Raw genomic sequence first — 18620 nt, forward strand, 5'->3', positions numbered from 1 at the left:
CCAACTTGAGAGGCCCTGTACTTTAAGATGGATACTAACCTTTTCATTAGTGCAACTGGGCATTTGCAGTTCAAATTATCATTTTGCCTGGGCCGGGGAGATCCCCTGGTTTCTTCTAGGATGCAGGTTATTTCTTTACTACTAATTGCTCCTGCCTGTTTGTTTCATATGATCAGACACTGAATGAGATAAAATACCAACACTAGTAGCCTGTTACAGTGAAGGGACATTAAATCTATAAGAATGAATTTATTAGTGTAGCTCTAGGCTTCTGGAAATGAACAAATTTCTTTTAAAATTCAGAAGTGTGTCTCCTGTGGTTAAAAAAAACTGTAGACTATGACATATTTGTTTAATTACTGAGGCTGAATTTTCTGTTTTGATTGTGAGATATTATAATGTGTGAACACAGATATTAAAAATGGAGAATTATTTGCTTTATGAAGCTCTAGATGTAAGAAGGCAAATGTAAAAATATGTCTAATTGTTTGAGTTAAGCAAGTAGTTATTTACTTTAGGTCTAACTTGATGAGTTGCCCTAGAACATTCTTATAATTTTTTTTAACTGAGGATCATGACCTTGATCCATGTCAGCAGGGGATCAGGTAGTGAAATCCCGAAAGTGTCTGACTATTTGGCAGTTTTAATTATGAGGCCATCTCAAAGTCAGCAGAAATTACAAGAATACAATTTTCAAAAAAGTGAGTGAAATACTAATGGTGAATACTAATGGTAGTAACGCCAAAGCAGGCATCATCACCTATGAGATAGATAGAGTGTAAACAGGGGAAATGAGATGTTCTGGACTGGCTTCTGACCTGTTAAATCATCATAATATACTTCTCTCTTATTTTTACATTAAAAGTTAGATAATATTAATCCCAAATGTATATTTTTAAAAGTTACCATAAAAATAAAAATACTCATAACTTAAAAGAGTTCAGCCACGGGACATGCTCTCTGCAGGGGTGCTGGCTGTTCTCCCTGCGTCCCCGACTCCCAGTCCCATGAAGCAGTCCCCGTCCTACCACCCTCCGATCCCTGCTGCTTTCTGACCAGCTTTGCTTTTCATCTGTGCCTCCAGGAAATATTTTCTCAGGCCTTGGCAAACCAGGTACATCTTAAGATTGTATCCAGTATGTGATCACAATTATCTTGAATTATGCAGTGCCTCACTGAGACATCCTAGCTAAAATTAAGGCAGTTTTCCCCTTAGTCTTCAAGTAAACTCCCATGGAAAATATTCACAGACACAGAAAAACAAATTGACCAAATCGGCAGAATTCTTAGTTTACAGAGGTAAAAGATGAGCTTTTCATGGAATCCTAGGCCACTGGTATTTGTTAGGATTGAATGGAAAGAGGTTTCCCTGTTCCTTTAGGAAAGTGAGTTAAGAAAGAAAAAGTGACAAGAACAATAGGGACTTTTTCTTGGTCTCATGTTATCCTTCCCAAAGTAGAAGACAGATTCCTTCTCTAGATCTTTGTATCCTGTCACACATTGCTGGCTTTCAACAAATGTTGAATAAATGAGTGAATGAAGATATTGAGTGAATGAAGTTGCTGCTGTACTGGGATAGGAGCTGGGGCTTCGCTTCTAGGGACACTGGGACCTTCTTTTTTCTCTGTCCTCCCCAAATTCAGGGGACTTAGGTGTGTACCTATGACTAGGGTAATATTATAGTCTAAACATGTACTCCCCGCTTGCCCACTGCGAAGCTCATGCCCTCATTCCACCACACCCAGTGAGAGGACAGGGGAGCGGAGTACTGCCACTGCCTGGTTGCTTGGTTTCCAGCATCACTGATGTCAAGTTCTTTTACTCTTCGGACGGTAGTGGTGTAAGATGCCTTATTATGGTATTGAACTCAAATGCAATATGACTGTGCTCTTCATGGCTGAAGGATTCAAGTCTTATCTCAATCTCTCCTCATAGTTTAGAGTCTAGTGGAGAGCAGGCATGCAGGAAATGTTTGCATGCGTGGCAGAGGTATAATTCTGAGTACAAAATGCTGTCATAGTAATTATTTCTTTTGGTAACTAGAGATAATGCTTACTTAAAGGAGATTTCGTGGACTGAGCCTTACTTTTCCTTTCTTGATACTGAATGTTTAAAAACAGGATTATGAAATCAAAACTGTGTGATACTTTTAATAACTAGTTTTAAAAATAAGTATAATAATGACTGGCTGGAATGTGATGTGTGCATGTATTTGTGTATATGTAGTATTACTAATCCAGCTATGTTTTAATTTTTGTTGTCCTTAAAAAGAGGGCTGTTTTCTTTTCCCCATTTTAATTTAGGTACTTACCATTCTGAATTGGGAATCTTGCACTCAAAATTACCTTCTGTTTTATAAAATAAATAAGCATGATAGTGGCAAATCATTGCTTGTATGTTGATTTTGGATTTAGACAGGACAGCAGAGCTCAGGAAAGAACAAAGCGAAACAAAGGGGAAACAGGAAAGACAACTGTAGACCAATGCAAACCAATAGAACCCAGAAAATCAAAGGAAAACACAGCATGATGTTATAAGTAAAAGCAGCAGGTGAGACTCCTACCTTCCGTAAATTAATAACTATTGAAATGGAGTGGCGTGTACATGGGGTTTCATTGTGCTCATTTCTCTACTTTAAATCTATTTGAAATTTTCTGTAATAAAAAACTTTTAAAACATACACAAAGGAAAGATGTTAACATTTATTACATCTTTATGCTTGATTGTAATACTTGATAATTAAAAGGAAGTTGATATAAAAATAAGGCTTTCCACTTAGATGGTGAAGGGAAAAGCAGATGGTATTCTGATGTTATGTGTAGCACCTGCCATGTAGAATCAGGGAATTCATTTTCCAGGTGAGGTTCCTGGCTAGCTCTAAGATTCTGTAATTCTATGACAGATAAAGCTTTTTAGATGTGCTTCTCCCTATCATGCCAGGAAAACCTGGCAGAGGCCATAAGTTCCTTAATTAAATCAAAGTACCAATGTTATAGTTGAGTTAGATCTCCCTCCCTGATTCTGCATACACACTATTGGTTGGATACTGTACTGTTGAAATCCCCACGTTGATTCCAATTTCGACTTAGCTGAATTGAATGTGGTCAATAAAAGGTCGCACCATGAGCTAAAGTAGATAGGTAAAGTGACTTTGGCTGCTCTTCCATGCTTTGAAAGTCAGATTGACTCAACAAGAGTTTATACTTAAATACATTTTAAATTACATGCTCAGGATTTTATAAGCACCATGGAAGAATCAAAAGAAACGTAAGACAGTTTTGCACTGAGAAACTTAGGCTGAGTGACCAACTCACATAAAATTATTAGTCATCTACCTGAGGCAGAATATGATGGAAACACTAAAGAACACAGTTTAAGACAAGACCCAGAAGGTCAGCCCGTAGATGGGGAAAGGAGAATGGCACCATGTAAAGAGGAGGAGGTAGAAATGGGTTATGAAAGACGGATTGATCTGAGAGGGAGGAGTGGGAGGTGAGTGGAGTGTTGGGTACAAAACCTTGGGATAGTTGTTGTAAAGGAAAGTGGAAGAAAGCTCATTAAAAGGAAGAAATGGAAAATGATAAGTAGAAGTGGTGATTACAGGTCCCAGCAAAACAGGAAATCAAGGTTCCAAAGTAGAAGTGGAATGATGAGCTTTCAGGAAGGAGTTAAGAATCAGTTCTCCCAAGCCTGCAGGACCAAAGAAAGGAAAGAAATAAGAGGTAATATATATTATACTATTACGCACTGAGGAAGAAAGTGTCTAAGGGAGCTCACACGAGATGGCCTTAACTATTGTCCATTACAAAGGCTCTGAGATCAGGCGGTCGGTTAGCTCGGTTGGTTAGAGCGTGGTGCTGACAAAGGCTCTGAGATCACCTCCTAAACATAGTGGGAAGAGAGAGTACAGGAGGAAAAAGGAGCCAGTCTAGATAGAGGTCAACCATGGCGTGCATACCAGATTATAGAGGACACATAAATAAAGACCCACTGAGAAGCAAGAAGGGCAGATCAAAACCAAACCTGCAGTCATCTTGTATTCAACTAGTGTTTATTGAACACCTATCGTCATTCTTCCATTCAACAGACATTTAGTTATCGCCCACTGTATGTCACATGCCAAGGCAAATCTACTTGCAAAGAATGCAGAGTCTATTAGAAGAGAGAGACATGTATGCAGTCAAGTCTAACCTTAGTGCATTCAGAGTAATGCCTGCTGTAATGAAGGTTCATGTAGATACTGTCGCTGGCATATAGCAAACAGTGAGTTCAAGGAAGACTTCACAGACCAAGCCCTGATAGAGGTGGACCTTAAGGAATGGGGAAAGAAGAAGAAAGGGTGGGAAAAGACGGTCCGTGCAGAAGGAATAAAAGTAGTGTGTGAAAGAGCATGCCATATATGGGGAGGTTTTGAGTGACCTGGTAGGTAGAACGTGGGAGTTGAAGGAAGAATAGAGACAATAGGGTATTTACCTAATGGATCTTACTGCCAACATTCTTAATGCAAAGGAAACAAAATTGGCAGAAATATAAACACAGGTGGACAGAACAGTCTTTACCTACTTAAGTTAACACAAGGATATAACATTGATCACTCTTAAATTCTGCCTTATGTTCCTATAGTGACTTTTAATATACTAAACTACCCTTGAGCATTATGAGTGCTTGTAAATATCAATACAGTACTGAGAAAAATAAATATGCTAATTTTGAGCCAATTTTCAGTATCTGTTTCTATTTGGGGCTAATTTTGGAGAACTGGTTTTGGAACACCTCACTTCCATATCATACAAAGTAGCTTGGGAGGAAACACTGCTCTCCTCTTGCTATAATTTCCTCCAACCAGAAGAAAGATCAGTTTTGTTTTGTTTTGTTTTTCTTAAGATAAGTTCTTGCTTTGTTGCCCAACCTGGAGTGCAGTGGCGCAAACATGGCTTACTGTAGCCTCCACCTCCTGGGCTCAAGTGATCCTCCTCCCTCAGTCTCCAGAGTAACTAGGACCACAGGCGCACACCACGATGCTTGGCGGTTTTTTGGTTTTTTTTGTTTGTTTGTTTGTTTGTTTGTTTTAGATGGAGTCTCACTCTGTCGCCCAGGCTGGAGTGAAGTGGCGCGATCTCGGGTCACTGCACATGCTTGGCTGTTTTTTATTTATTTATTTATTTATTTATTTATTTATTTATTTTAGTGACAGGGTCTCACCATGTTGCCTATGCTGGTCCCGAACTTCTGGGCTCAAGCAATCCTCAGCCTCCCAAAGTGCTGGAATTACAGGCGTGCACCACCACGCTTGGCCAATTTTGCTTTTTGTCCTCACTGAACAGCAGTTTTTTTTTTCCTACTTACTGAAATGTGTCTGTTTCTAAAATATTATTACTTGTATGGGATTTTAAAAACAGATGCCTGTTTTTTTCTGGTTCTAAATTTGAAGGTATTATTTTCTTTTTCAATTGAACCCTGGGTGGCCCTATCTAACACTTTTGGATTTCAACTGGCTTTTATTTCTATTGTATTTGAATGAAGAATCAGGAAATTCTATTGGGATTACATATTTTATGGTTATGTTGAGATTATGAGAGATACCACCTACACTACTGCATATATTTCAAAATGATGTTTTTAGGTTTTCTGTTCTTTGTGAGCCTCTTCATGTGTCTCTTTCATGACTTGCATATGAGACAGCTGAGGAAGAAACAATCAGTCTATACTTCCTTTGGCATTTATACCATGCATAAATATGCCCAAATATGATTTTTTTTTTAAAAAAAGGGTGTGGGGCATGAGGGAGGGGAAGAAATAGTAAGCATCAATATATACAGAGCACTGATCCAGATGCTGGGGAGATTACAAAACAATTTATAGGCTCTGCCCTGGAATAGAAGGTAACATTATATGAACAAGCAAACTCATAAGAAGTTAATAAGATCAGGACAGAAAGTGTTAAAAGGCAGATAAGTGAGGCTAGTCTGCACTACCAGGGGAAGTCACTGTGGCCTGAGTGTTTAAGCTTTTGGAGGAAGAGAGACAGACCTCAACAGCTTGGGGGGCCCCCTACACACTCACAAAGCTTTGCCTGCCCCAGGTGTGTGTCTGCTCTCAGTGAAGAATACAAGTAGCCACTGTTCCTTGTGGGTCATTATTTTCTGCTTGTTAATAAATGTTTAGTTTGGCAAAAACATGCTTATATGCTTAACATGCCTGTCTTACTTCTTTTGTGGTAAATGAACCAAATTGCATTCTTGTATTTTCTGTTTGACAGTGACAGCTGTGCAGATTCAATTCAGGCCCCTTGGACTAAGGACACTTGTGATTTTCATTTATCTACAATATATCATTCTTAGAGAAGATCAGCCTTACCCATATTATTTCCTTTTTCAGACAAATGGACACCTACCTGGGAACGGAGATGTGTATCAAGAAAGGCTGTCACTTTTAGAAAATGATAAAGAATCCCTCCTTCTTCAGGCAAGTGATTTTTAAATATTATTCTTTCCTTGCTGCATACAAAGAGTGTTTTAAATTAGGGTGACAAATTCAGATTGCTTGCAACCTGCCTGCTAATAGAAACCAGTTCTATTAGCAACCAGACTGCTAATAGAAACCAGTTCTATTAGCAACCAGACTGCTAATAGAAATAAGCATGGTAAGCCATCTGTAACCAATAGGGAGTAGTGAGGACTGGGGCAAAATGATGGTTTGTACACCCAGTTTAGAAGGAGCTGCCATTAATCAACCCCAGCTCTTCTGGGACCAGTCTGAATACAGATGCAATGTCATCTGATCTCACGTGCCATCTGATCTGATCTATTTTTTTTTTTTTTGGAGGCGAGGTCTTCTTACATTGCCCAGGCTAGTCTTGAACTCCTAGGCTCAAGCAATCTTCCTACCTCAGTCACCTAAGTAACTGGGATTACAGGCGTGTAGCACTACACTTGGCTGGATCTGACTTTAAAATATATTTTAATATATATCAGAAATTTAGACATATGAATATAGCATAAAATCTGCATATATGTAAGTTTATATTTCTAAATCTGAAATCTGAGTAAATATATTTAATTTTTCAGTTTTAAAAATGATACCCTGTGTGAGACAAAACAAAACAGTGACTAGAACCCTCCTTGTGGGCTAAATTTGAGTTTGCTTCTTCATGATGTTTTAAATGCTTCACAAACATTTTTCTTTGGTATATTGAGCAAAATGAATTGAAGCATATTTACTGGGTGATGATTATGGAGGAAAAACTCAAAGATCTGCTATAAGCACTAGAATTGAAAGACTAGCCCAAGAGCTCCTCATGCACCTTTGAGTATATTGAGTTGCTCCCTGGCTTTGAACGCATCTGTGATCAGTTTAAAGTCATAAATATAAAGTCATCTTCAAAGAGCTCATGGAACTTGAATTCCTTGAGTTCTTTTCCTTATTCTTCTTGAAGTATCGAATTTGAATAGCTCTTGGTAATTTCTATTTGAAACATTAACTTCCTTTCCTCTCTTCTAATACTATCTCCACCCTGCCCGCAAAAAAGATGTGCACACTCTCTCTCATAAATGGTTGAAATGGCTTTAACCAAAAAGTATTGTACATTACTAGTCTACACAAATTTTCTCCAAAATTGTATAGGACTCCCTAAATCAAAAAGCAACATATAAATAGGAATGCGAGGGACCACTGTCTTCTTGGTACTTCTCAGATTTTTTTTTCTTTACAATCGTATGAGTGGTAGGATTATTCCTTTTTTTGTTCCATTTAGAGAAATAATGTATGCAGTTGGACCCAAATTCTTTTTCACTCATTGCAGTATTTTATTCTAAATACAGCTAAGCATGTTAACAGACCAGGTGGAGGATGAGGGAGAGAAGATTAGAGATTTGGAGTTTTGTCTTGAAGAGCACAGAGAGAAGGTGAATGCCACAGAAGAAATGCTGCAGCAGGTATGTGCAGACGCCATATCCAAGATGGGATTTCCCTGCTGAACTATTTGAGATGCTGCATTTCTATGTTGTGTTTGCTCTGATGCAGCAGTAAGTTTCTTGATTCACTTAGACCAGCACATTTAAAAAAAAAAATTGAGAGTAGTAGAGTCTCAAAACACATGCACACAATATAAAGTGTTTATGTAATTAGAATCTGGAACAAAATGTCAATAGGATTGTGGCTTATTTTTATTTTCTTTCTTTGCATTCAGATGGTTTCCTAACTCTCACCTATAAGCATATGTTTTGTGATTAAGAAAAAAAGATAATAGTAAAAAATCTAAGAATCCGATTTAAAAATGGGCGAAAGATTTGAATAGACATTTCTCAAAAGAAGACATACAAATGGCAAATAGACATATGAAAAGGTGCTCAGCATCATTGATCATCAGAGAAATGCAAATCAAAACGACAACAAGATACTATCTCACCCCAGCTAAAATTGCTTTTATCCAAAAGACAGGCAGTAACAAATGCTGGCAAGGATGTGGAGAAAAGGGAACCCTTGTACACTGTTGGTGGGAATGTAAATTCATACAACTACTTTGGAGAACAGTTTGGAGGTTCCTCAAAAAACTGAAAATAGAGCTACCATATGATCCAGCAATGCCACTGCTGGATATATACCCAAAGGAAAGGAAATCAGTATATCGAAGAAATATCTGTGCTCTCGTGTTTACTGCAGCTCTGTTCACAGCCACCAAGATTTGGAAGGAACCTAAATGTCCATCAACAAATAACTGGATAAAGAAAATGTGGTACTTATACACAATGGAGTACTATTCAGCTATAAAAAAGCATGAGATTCAGTTATTTGCAACAACATGAATGGAACTGGAGGTCATTATGTGTGAAATAAGCCAAGCACAAAAAAACAAACACCTCATGTTCTCATTTGTGGGATCTAAAAATAAAACAATTGAGCTCACGGAAATAGTGGAAGGATGGTTACCAGAGGCTGGGCAGAGTAGTGAGGGATGAAGGAAGAGGTGGAGGATGGTGGAGGGGTACAAAATAATAGTTTGAATAAGGCCTAGTATTTAGTAGCACATCAGGGTGACTATAGTTAATAATAATCTAATTGTATATTTGAAAATAGGAATATAACTGGATTGTTTGTAACACAAAGGATAAATGCTTGAGAAAATGGAGACCCCGTTTTCCATGATGTGATTATCACATACTGTATACCTGTATCGAAACATCTCATGTACCCCATAAATAGATATACCTACTATGTACCCACAAAATTAAAAATTAGAAAAGAAAAAAACAGAAAAAAGATAAGCACCATCTATAACACAAAGGACAGGCTCCGTAAGGTTGTGGATGGGGTATGCACTGGAGCAAAACTTTGTAGGTTTCCATTCCTGCCGTGCCTTTTTTTTTTCCCTCTATGACATTAGGCAAGTTCCTAACCTCTCCATTACTAAGTTTCCTCATCTTTTGATTAAGGATAGTAAGAATTTCTAACTGATAAGATTTTTGTGAGGATTGAAACAGTATGTCACAACGGTTGCCTGGCATACAGCAAACATAGTATCATCATCATAATCAATGTTATCACCAGACTGAAGTATATATATATGGTTTATGCATGTGTATCTACATAACATGTCTCCCTAAGTAAACTGACATGTGTTTATTTCTGCTCAAAGGAGAGTAACTAAAGTGAATGATTTTTTATTTATTTATTTTTTATTATACTTTAAGTTTTAGGGTATATGTGCACAACATACAGATTTGTTACATATGTATACATGTGCCATGTTGGTGTGCTGCACCCATTAACTCATCATTTAACATTAGGTATATCTCCTAATGCTATCCCTCCCCCCACCCCTCACCCCACAACAGGCCCAGTGTGTGATGTTCCCCTTCCTGTGTCCATGTATTCTCATTATTCAATTCCCACCTATGAGTGAGAACATGCGGTGTTTGGTTTTTTGTCCTTGCCATAGTATGCTGAGAATGATGGTTTCCAGCTTCATCCATGTCCCTACAAAGGACATGAACTCATCATTTTTTATGGCTGCATAGTATTCCATGGTGTATATGTGCCACATTTTCTTAATCCAGCCTATTGTTGGACATTTGGGTTGGTTCCAAGTCTCTGCTATTGTCAATAGTGCTGCAGTAAACATACGCATGCATGTGTCTTTATAGCAGCATGTTTTATAATCCTTTGGGTATATACCCAGTAATGGGATGGCTGGGTCAAATGGTATTTCTAGTTCTAGGTCCCTGAGGAATCGCCACACTGACTTCCACAATGGTTGAACTAGTTTACAGTCCCACCAACAGGGTTAAAGTGTTCCTATTTCTCAACATCCTCTCCAGCACCTGTTGTTTCCTGACTTTTTAATGATCGCCATTCTAACTGGTATGAGATGGTATCTCATTGTGGTTTTGATTTGCATTTCTCTAATGGCCAGTGATGATGAGCATTTTTCCATGTGTCTTTTGGCTGCATAAGTGTCTTCTTTTGAGAAGTGTCTGTTCATATCCTTCGCCCACTTTTTGATGGGGTTGTTTTTTTTCTTGTAAATTTGTCTGAGTTCATTGTAGATTCTGGACATCAGCCCTTTGTCAGATGAGTAGATTGCAAAAATTTTTTCCCATTCTGTAGGTTGCCTGTTCACTCTGATGGTAGTTTCTTTTGCTGTGCAGAAGCTCTTTAGTTTAATTAGATCCCATTTGTCAATTTTGGCTTTTGTTGCCATTGCTTTTGGTGTTTTAGACATGAAGTCCTTGCCCATGCCTGTGTCCTGAATGGTAATGCCTAGGTTTTCTTCTAGGGTTTTTATGGTTTTAGGTCTAACATTTAAGTCTTTAATCCATCTTGGATTAATTTTTATATAAGGTGTAAGGAAGGGATCCAGTTTCAGCTTTCTACATATGGCTAGCCAGTTTTCCCAGCACCATTTATTAAATAGGGAATCCTTTCCCCATTTCTTGTTTTTGTCAGTTTTGTCAAAGATCAGAGAGTTGTAGATATGTGGCATTATTTCTGAGGGCTCTGTTCTGTTCCATTGACCTATGTCTCTGTTTTGGTACCAGTTACCATGCTGTTTTGGTTACTGTAGCCTTGTAGTATAGTTTGAAGTCAGGTAGTGTGATCCCTCCAGCTTTGTTCTTTTGGCTTAGGATTGACTTGGCAATGAGGGCTCTTTTTTGGTTCCATAAGAACTTTAGTTTTTTTCCAATTCTGTGAAGAAAGTCATTGGTAGCTTGATGGGGATGGCATTGAATCTGTAAATTACCTTGGGCAGTATGGCCATTTTCATGATATTGATTCTTCCTACCCATGAGCATGGAGTGTTCTTCCATTTGTTTGTATCCTCTTTTATTTCATTGAGCAGTGGTTTCTAGTTCTCCTTGAAGAGGTCCTTCACATCCCTTGTAAGTTGGATTCCTAGGTATTTTATTCTCTTTGAAGCAATTGTGAATGGGAGTTCACTCATGATTTGGCTCTCTGTTTGTCTGTTATTGGTGTATAAGAATGCTTGTGATTTTTGCACATTGATTTTGTATCCTGAGACGTTGCTGAAGTTGCCTATCAGCTTAAGGAGATTTTGGGCTGAGACGATGGGGTTTTCTAGATATACAATCATGTCATCTGCAAACAGGGACAATTTGACTTCCCGTTTTCCTAATTGAATACCCTTTATTTCCTTCTCCTGCCTTATTGCCCTGGCCAGAACTTCCAACAGTATGTTGAATAGGAGTGGTGAGAGAGGGCATCCCTGTCTTGTGCCAGTTTTCAAAGGGAATGCTTCCAGTTTTTGCCCATTCAGTATGATATTGGCTGTGGGTTTGTCATAGATAGCTCTTATTATTTTGAGATATGTCCATCAATACCTAATTTATTGAGAGTTTTTAGCATGAAGGGTTTTTGAATTTTGTCAAAGGCCTTTTCTGCATCTATTGAGATAATCATGTGGTTTTTGTCTTTGATTCTGTTTATATGCTGGATTACGTTTATTGATTTGCATATGTTGAACCAGCCTTGCATCCCAGGGATGAAGCCCACTTGATCATGGTGGATAAGCTTTTTGGTGTGCTGCTGGATTCGGTTTGCCAGTATTTTATTGAGGATTTTTGCATCGATGTTCATCAGGGATATTGGTCTAAAATTCTCTTTTTTTGTTGTGTCTCTGCCAGGCTTTGGTATCAGGATGATGCTGGCCTCATAAAATGAGTTAGGGAGGATTCCCCCTTCTTCTATTGATTGGAATAGTTTCAGAAGGAATGGTACCAGCTCCTCCTTGTACCTCTGGTAGAATTCGGCTGTGAATCCATCTGGTCCTGGAGTTTTTTTGGTTGGTAAGCTATTAATTATTGCCTCAATTTCAGAGCCTGTTATTGGTCTATTCATTTTGTTTTACCTTATTTTTGAGATGGAGTCTCATTTGTTGACCAGGCTGGAGTGCAGTGGCGTGATTTCGGCTCACTGTAACCTCCGCCTCCTGGGTTCAAGCAATTCTCCTGCCTCAGCCCCTCGAGTAGCTGGGACTACAGGCACCTGCCACTACACTAGCTAATTTTTGTATGTTTAGTAGAAATGAGGTTTCATCATACTGTCCAGGCTTGTCTCAAACTCCTGACCTTAAGTGATCCGCCCGCCTCAGCCTCCCAAAGTGCTGGGATTACAGGCGTGAGCCACCGCGCACGGCCTAAAGTGAATAATTTTTAAAAAGTATGTATATTCAGTAATTATACTTTAATGCGTCCTCTACTTGATAGGTGCTGCTTTGTGCTATCATAAATGAGGTAAATTCACATGTGGCTGTTTATAATAAAAGAATTATTGAATGTATCTTTTAAATTCCAATAGGAGCTTCTAAGTAGGGCATCCTTAGAAACTCAGAAGTTGGATCTGATGGCTGAAATATCTAACTTGAAGTTGAAACTGACAGCTGTAGAGAAGGACAGATTGGATTATGAAGATAAGTTCAGAGACACAGAGGTGTGTGACACAGTCTCTCCTCTCTCTCTCTCTCTCTGTCACTCTGTCTCTCATAGACGTACATTCCTAGGGCAAAGTCGAAATTCTCTGGAGGTGTGCAAGGAAGGCGGTTAATTACTACGTGCCCTCATCCTACTTCATTTTAAGAATAATCTTTGATTATATTGACTTTTTATCACAAAATGCTAATGACAATTTTTATTTTTAGACTTTTGATATGAAATATTAATCATTTTATCAACCTTTAGAAATACTTTTGACTTTAGGATATTTGGAGCATCCATCCATTCATACTAGTTTTCTTAATTTTGTAAATAATGGGCTTAAATGCATGGTTTTGCTAGTAGTTATTATTTAAGCACACTGATTATTTACTATGTAATTGGATTTTTGAAATCTGTATAGAAAGCATGCTTACATTATATAAACACAAAACAACAGAGCCTTTTTGAGGTCATCTAATTTGGCCTTCTACTTTTGGTCTATTCCACATGTAAATCATTCCAATTAAATAAGACTCACTGTACTTCTACGAAACTCAGGGTACATTCTATAACTTGAAGTATCCATTTTAGTGGCTAAACAAGCTTTATTGTTTGTTCTCTCTATTTTATTAATCCAGGCCTTCTAGTTTGTTTGCTGTGTGACATTTGGCAAGTTCTTAACCTCTCTGTTTTTTTTTTTTTTTTTTTTTTTGGTGGATGGAGAGAGCATATCCGTTTGAAATCTACTCATTTGAAATGATGTGTAAAGAGTTGCAGAAATTCCTCTCTCTGAGGGCCATCTCCCCTCCTTTTTTCTATTTTGTTTCTTTGGTTGGAGTATGGAAAGGTGTCATGCTGGATTAGAAAATGGGTACCAAGGAGAGAGGAGAGAAAATGGTTTATTTATTTTTCCCTTCTGTTTTTATTTCAAACATGTATTTTATGCTGACTATATGCCAGCATGGTACCGGGCATTACATACATTATCTACTACAGGAAAATCCTTTATAGACCTGGAAATAACAAGGTTTACTCCATTGCTATTTTCAAAATTAAATTTTCTGTCAAAGATTCAATCACAGTGGAAAGTCTTGGTATATGTCTTGCTTCCTCAGTAGCAAAAGGAGATCTGTCATTTGGTTCATGTTTTATTTAATTTTTTTAGAGATAGGATCTTACTGTGTTGCCCAGGCTAGTATGGAACTCCTGGCCTCAAGCAATTCTCCCATTTTGGCCTCCCAAAGCACTGGGATTATAGGCATGAGTCACCATGCCCAGCCATGTTTTAATCTTAAAACTCTTTGTCAGTTGCCTATGTGAGCATGTTTCTCATTTTATTGAAGCTGGGGCTCTTAAACAAGACTTAGAAAGTTACTCAGTTTAAAATTCTTGCTTTTGTATTTTCTCTAAAAATCTCTTTTGATATTTTTCTCTTTCCCCTCTTTTTGTGAGGTCCTTACCCCATAGTTGCTAGGTAAGGTAACAGTAAAACTCAGTCAACAGATGGACAACATGGCAGTGGAGCTAGCTCTGCTGCAGGGAAGAATTGATGGTAGATATGGATAGAGGTAGTGTTCTACATTGTGTCTGCAAAGTCAAGGGGAAATATTCACCTGTTGTTAGCTTAATTTGGATATGAGATGCTAACCAAATGTTGGGACTGAATTGCAGTAGATGTGTTATTTATTTATTTTTGTAAGACCCCAGGGCAATATTTACATCCCTTGAGTTCAGCTGCCTTTTTTATCAAACTTTTTTTTCCCCACTTTTTCGTTTCACTCATACACTCTTAATCACATACAAAGTGATTTTGTTATTAAACTTCCAGTACACTCAATCCCTGATAATCTTCTAATAAAAATTCAGTGCTATTGCTAAAATATACACATGTAGCCAGAGATTAGAGCATATGGGGTAAACTTTGTGACGTTGCATATGAAAATAATTAAAATAACATTCACTATTAAACTAACTTGAATATTCTCATGTTCCTGTTATCGTTCCCTTAATAAAAATATTTTCCTGAGTGTTTCATGAGTCCATAATATTTAACTTTCTCTTAGAAGTTTAGATTATTTGGATATTAATATCCAATAAAATATTGGCATGGGGAAGAAGTATGGGCATTTCCAAGGGACTGAGCACTGGAAGATTCAGGACTTGGCTTGTCCCCGTACTTGCTAATGGGAGATGGTCAGCATCATTCAACAGTGCCCCCTTCTGGTAAGAGCACACATGTCAGAGACTGAGTTCCTGCGGGAGCCCTGAGGAGTTCTCTGAAAGGGAAAAGGGAAAGGGAACAGGGATTTTCTTTCTTAAAAGGACTGAACTTCTGATAAGAACTTATTGAAATAATTTGTATTCTGTTTTTTAAAGTTTTACATTAGAAAGCTATTTCCAGATTTTCCAGCTTGTGTTGTCAGGGGAAGATATGATTTCGGGTTGGAAATGTAGACCATATTTAAAGTATTGTCATGAAATATAGTGGAGTAGTTTTTGTTAAAACAGATAACTTATCCCAGTTTATAATTCCATTTTTTTCAATTGTTTCTTCTTTGCACATTGCCACTATTTCTAAAGGAAGTAGTAAAAACAGCAATAGCAGACAGGAGGAATTCACTGCTATTTCTTAACAATGAGAAAGTGGGAAAATATATATTTAAAAAGATCATATTGATGAATATCACTAAGGACTAAGGACTTATATTATGCAAGGATGATTAGTTAACTGGGAAAAGGTGATTTTTTTTCTTTGAACTTGAATTCTGACCTGTTAGATGAGGAATCACAAATGTTATTGAATAATGTCAAACAGTTCTTGACCTAATTCATAAGAAGAAAATATATATTATCTAATTGAAATATTGTATGATTATTAAGTGACTCTTAAGGAGTAATCGTATAATTATGATAGGTAATATTTTGCCCATTTTATAAGAGACAACAATTTAAAAGCCTGTGGGTTTACTGGGAAGTGTATTTCATTATAGCATCCCTTCTCTTAGCCTTTGTGAACTTGAATCATTATATTTGGAAGTTTAAAATAATCCCTATTCACAAACTTTTATTTCTTATAACATTATTCTACTTGTAATTTTTGGCATTCTTGGATAATTTTGTCCTGTAATCTATGAATTTGTGACCCAGGAATACATGCATGTCTTTGTAAAAAGAGAGAAGCTGGCTGGGCACAGTGGCTCACACCTGTAATCCCAACACTTAGGGAGTCCGAGGAGGGCGGGTCACTCGAGGTCAGGAGTTCAAGACAAGCCTGGTCAACATGGTGAAACCCTTGTCTCTACTAAAAATAGAAAAACTAGCTGGGTGTGGTGGTGGGTGCCTGTAATCCCAGTTCCTGTGAAGGCTGAGACAGGAGAGTATCTTGAACCTGGGAGGCGGGGGTTGCAGTAAGCTCAGATGGCGGCACTGCACTCCAGCCTGGGTGACAGAGCAAGACTCCATCTTAAAAAAAAAAGAGGGAGAGAGAAGCAAAAATATAGTAACCATTGTAGGGATCTTTGTGGCTTGTAGTAAAAATAAGTCATCTCCCACGCAGGGTATTTGAGTGTCTCTTTTGGAGGAGTTAATATTGCTTAACACTCTTAATTTCCTTTCCTACTCTCTGGGCTCTGGACAAAAATACACCATTATTTCTCAGAATACTTGGACAAGTTTTATGAGCAAATTGGTTCTTTAAAAAGTGACACTAAATAAAATAAAAAATGGTAGTAGAAAAGATGTAAAATCATGTTGTGTCATGTAAACATTAGGATTGGTTTCTCTTTCATTTTCGAATTATAAAATTAGATGAACTGCAGGGCCCTCATCCACTTTCCAGTTGAAAATTGTCATTACAGTAAACTCAATCCCTGATAATCTCCTAATAAAAATTCAACAGTATTGCTAAAATGTATGCACATACCCCAAAATTAGAGAATAGTTGAGAAACTTTGTGATGTTATATATGACAACAATTAAAATAGTCCTCAAAATTAAAACTGATTTGACTATTCTCATGTTCCTGTTATCATTCACTTAATAAAAATAAAATATTTCCCTGGCTATTTCATGAATCTTAAGGATTCATGGGCTTAAAGGATTTAATTTTCATTTCATTCTCCCATATTGAGTTGATGAGCAATCCATATTTTTGTGGACAAAGGAAGAAATTACAAATTTAAAAAAAATACCCATGTATCACTGAGAAGTTTCAAAAGGTAAATGGCTTTACTAAAGAATGTGATATATTTAAAATACGAAATAGCATTCTATAAAATAGAATAGAAATAGCACTCTATGAAATAGCATTCATAGAGTCATTTTTAGGATAGAAATATCTGACAAATAATAGATATTAAGCTACCTTTCTTAAAATTACAGTCACCTTTTATTTTCATAAGCCCATCACTTTAGGGCAGACGCATTGGGGATTTAAACGAATGTTTTTGTTTGTTTGTTTGTTTTTTGACAGAGTCTTGCTCCTTTGTCAGGCTGGAGTGCAGTGGCGCAATCTCGGCTCACTGCAACCTCTGCCTCCCAGGTTCAAGCGATTCTCCTGCTTCAGCCTCCCGAATAGCTGGGACTACGGGTGTGTGCCACCACGCCCGGCTAATTTTTTGTATTTTAGTAGAGACGGGGTTTCACCATGTTGGCCAGGATGGTCTTGATCTCCTGACCTAGTGATTCACCAACCTCAGCCTCCCAAAGTGCTGCGATTACAGGCATGAGCCACCGCGCCCAGCCAATGCTTTAGTTGTTAGGAAGGTGGATTTATTTCCATTTATCTCATCTGATTCATTCAACTTTAACTCTAGGAGCTGGTGACTTAAGATTTCCAAGCTGCTATTTTATAGGTATAGGTAACCGTGTTACCACTTTCCTAATGCACTTTCTTGTTTCTTCTTGGACAGGGGCTGATTCAGGAGATCAATGATTTGAGGTTAAAAGTTAGTGAAATGGGCAGTGAGAGACTTCAGTATGAAAAAAAGCATGAATCAACCAAAGTAAGTTTTTCTCACAGGTTAACATTTTCAAACAAATGGCTCCACTATTCATCTATGCCTAATAATATAAATAACATGTTTTCTACTTAGTATATGATAAAGAAGGTATTTTAAAAGTAAATGAAGTTCCCCCCACGCTGGAAGCCTTCTTGAATTTAAACACCACTGATCTGAATTTAAAAACAAGGCTTAACTCATCCGACAGAACATAACCTGCCCTTTCTCTGAGTTGTATCTAACCTCCTTTATAAACTGATACTGTTTTCTCGGTTATTTAGCTTGTCTTTTTCTATCTGTAGTTTTCTTTCACTCCTCTGTCTCTCTGCCAGTCTTTAGTGGCCAAACTTTCTAGCATGAAAATCAAGGTGGGTCAGATGCAGTATGAAGAGCAGCAGATGGAACAAAAATGGGAGTCACTGAAGGTGTAGTAGACGTTGGGTGATGGGGTCCATGGCCTGTTGCTTTCTGGCTTGTGTTGTTTTGCTGTGATGATGTTTTTAGTGGCATGTGCATTCATTCTGTGTGTGTCACCTGTTGATTAAAAATCACCTCAAGCTGATTGAAGGAACAATGGGATCCCTGATGTTGTTTTCAGAAATACATGAAATAATTAGTGAAAAATAATAAACGTAAAATGAAAGAATTTATAAATTACACTCTCTTAGACTGAGACCCAAGCCTAGTAAAA

General features: G+C 37.7%; 1 pseudogene; it reads left to right on the forward strand.

Annotated features, from left to right (window-relative positions):
• LOC124902904 (liprin-beta-1-like) overlaps window positions 1-18620 on the forward strand; it is a 98657-nt pseudogene that overhangs the window by 27024 nt on the left and 53013 nt on the right.

This window comes from Homo sapiens, chromosome 12 (assembly GCF_000001405.40).
Source record: "Homo sapiens chromosome 12, GRCh38.p14 Primary Assembly".
Taxonomy (NCBI): domain Eukaryota; kingdom Metazoa; phylum Chordata; class Mammalia; order Primates; family Hominidae; genus Homo; species Homo sapiens.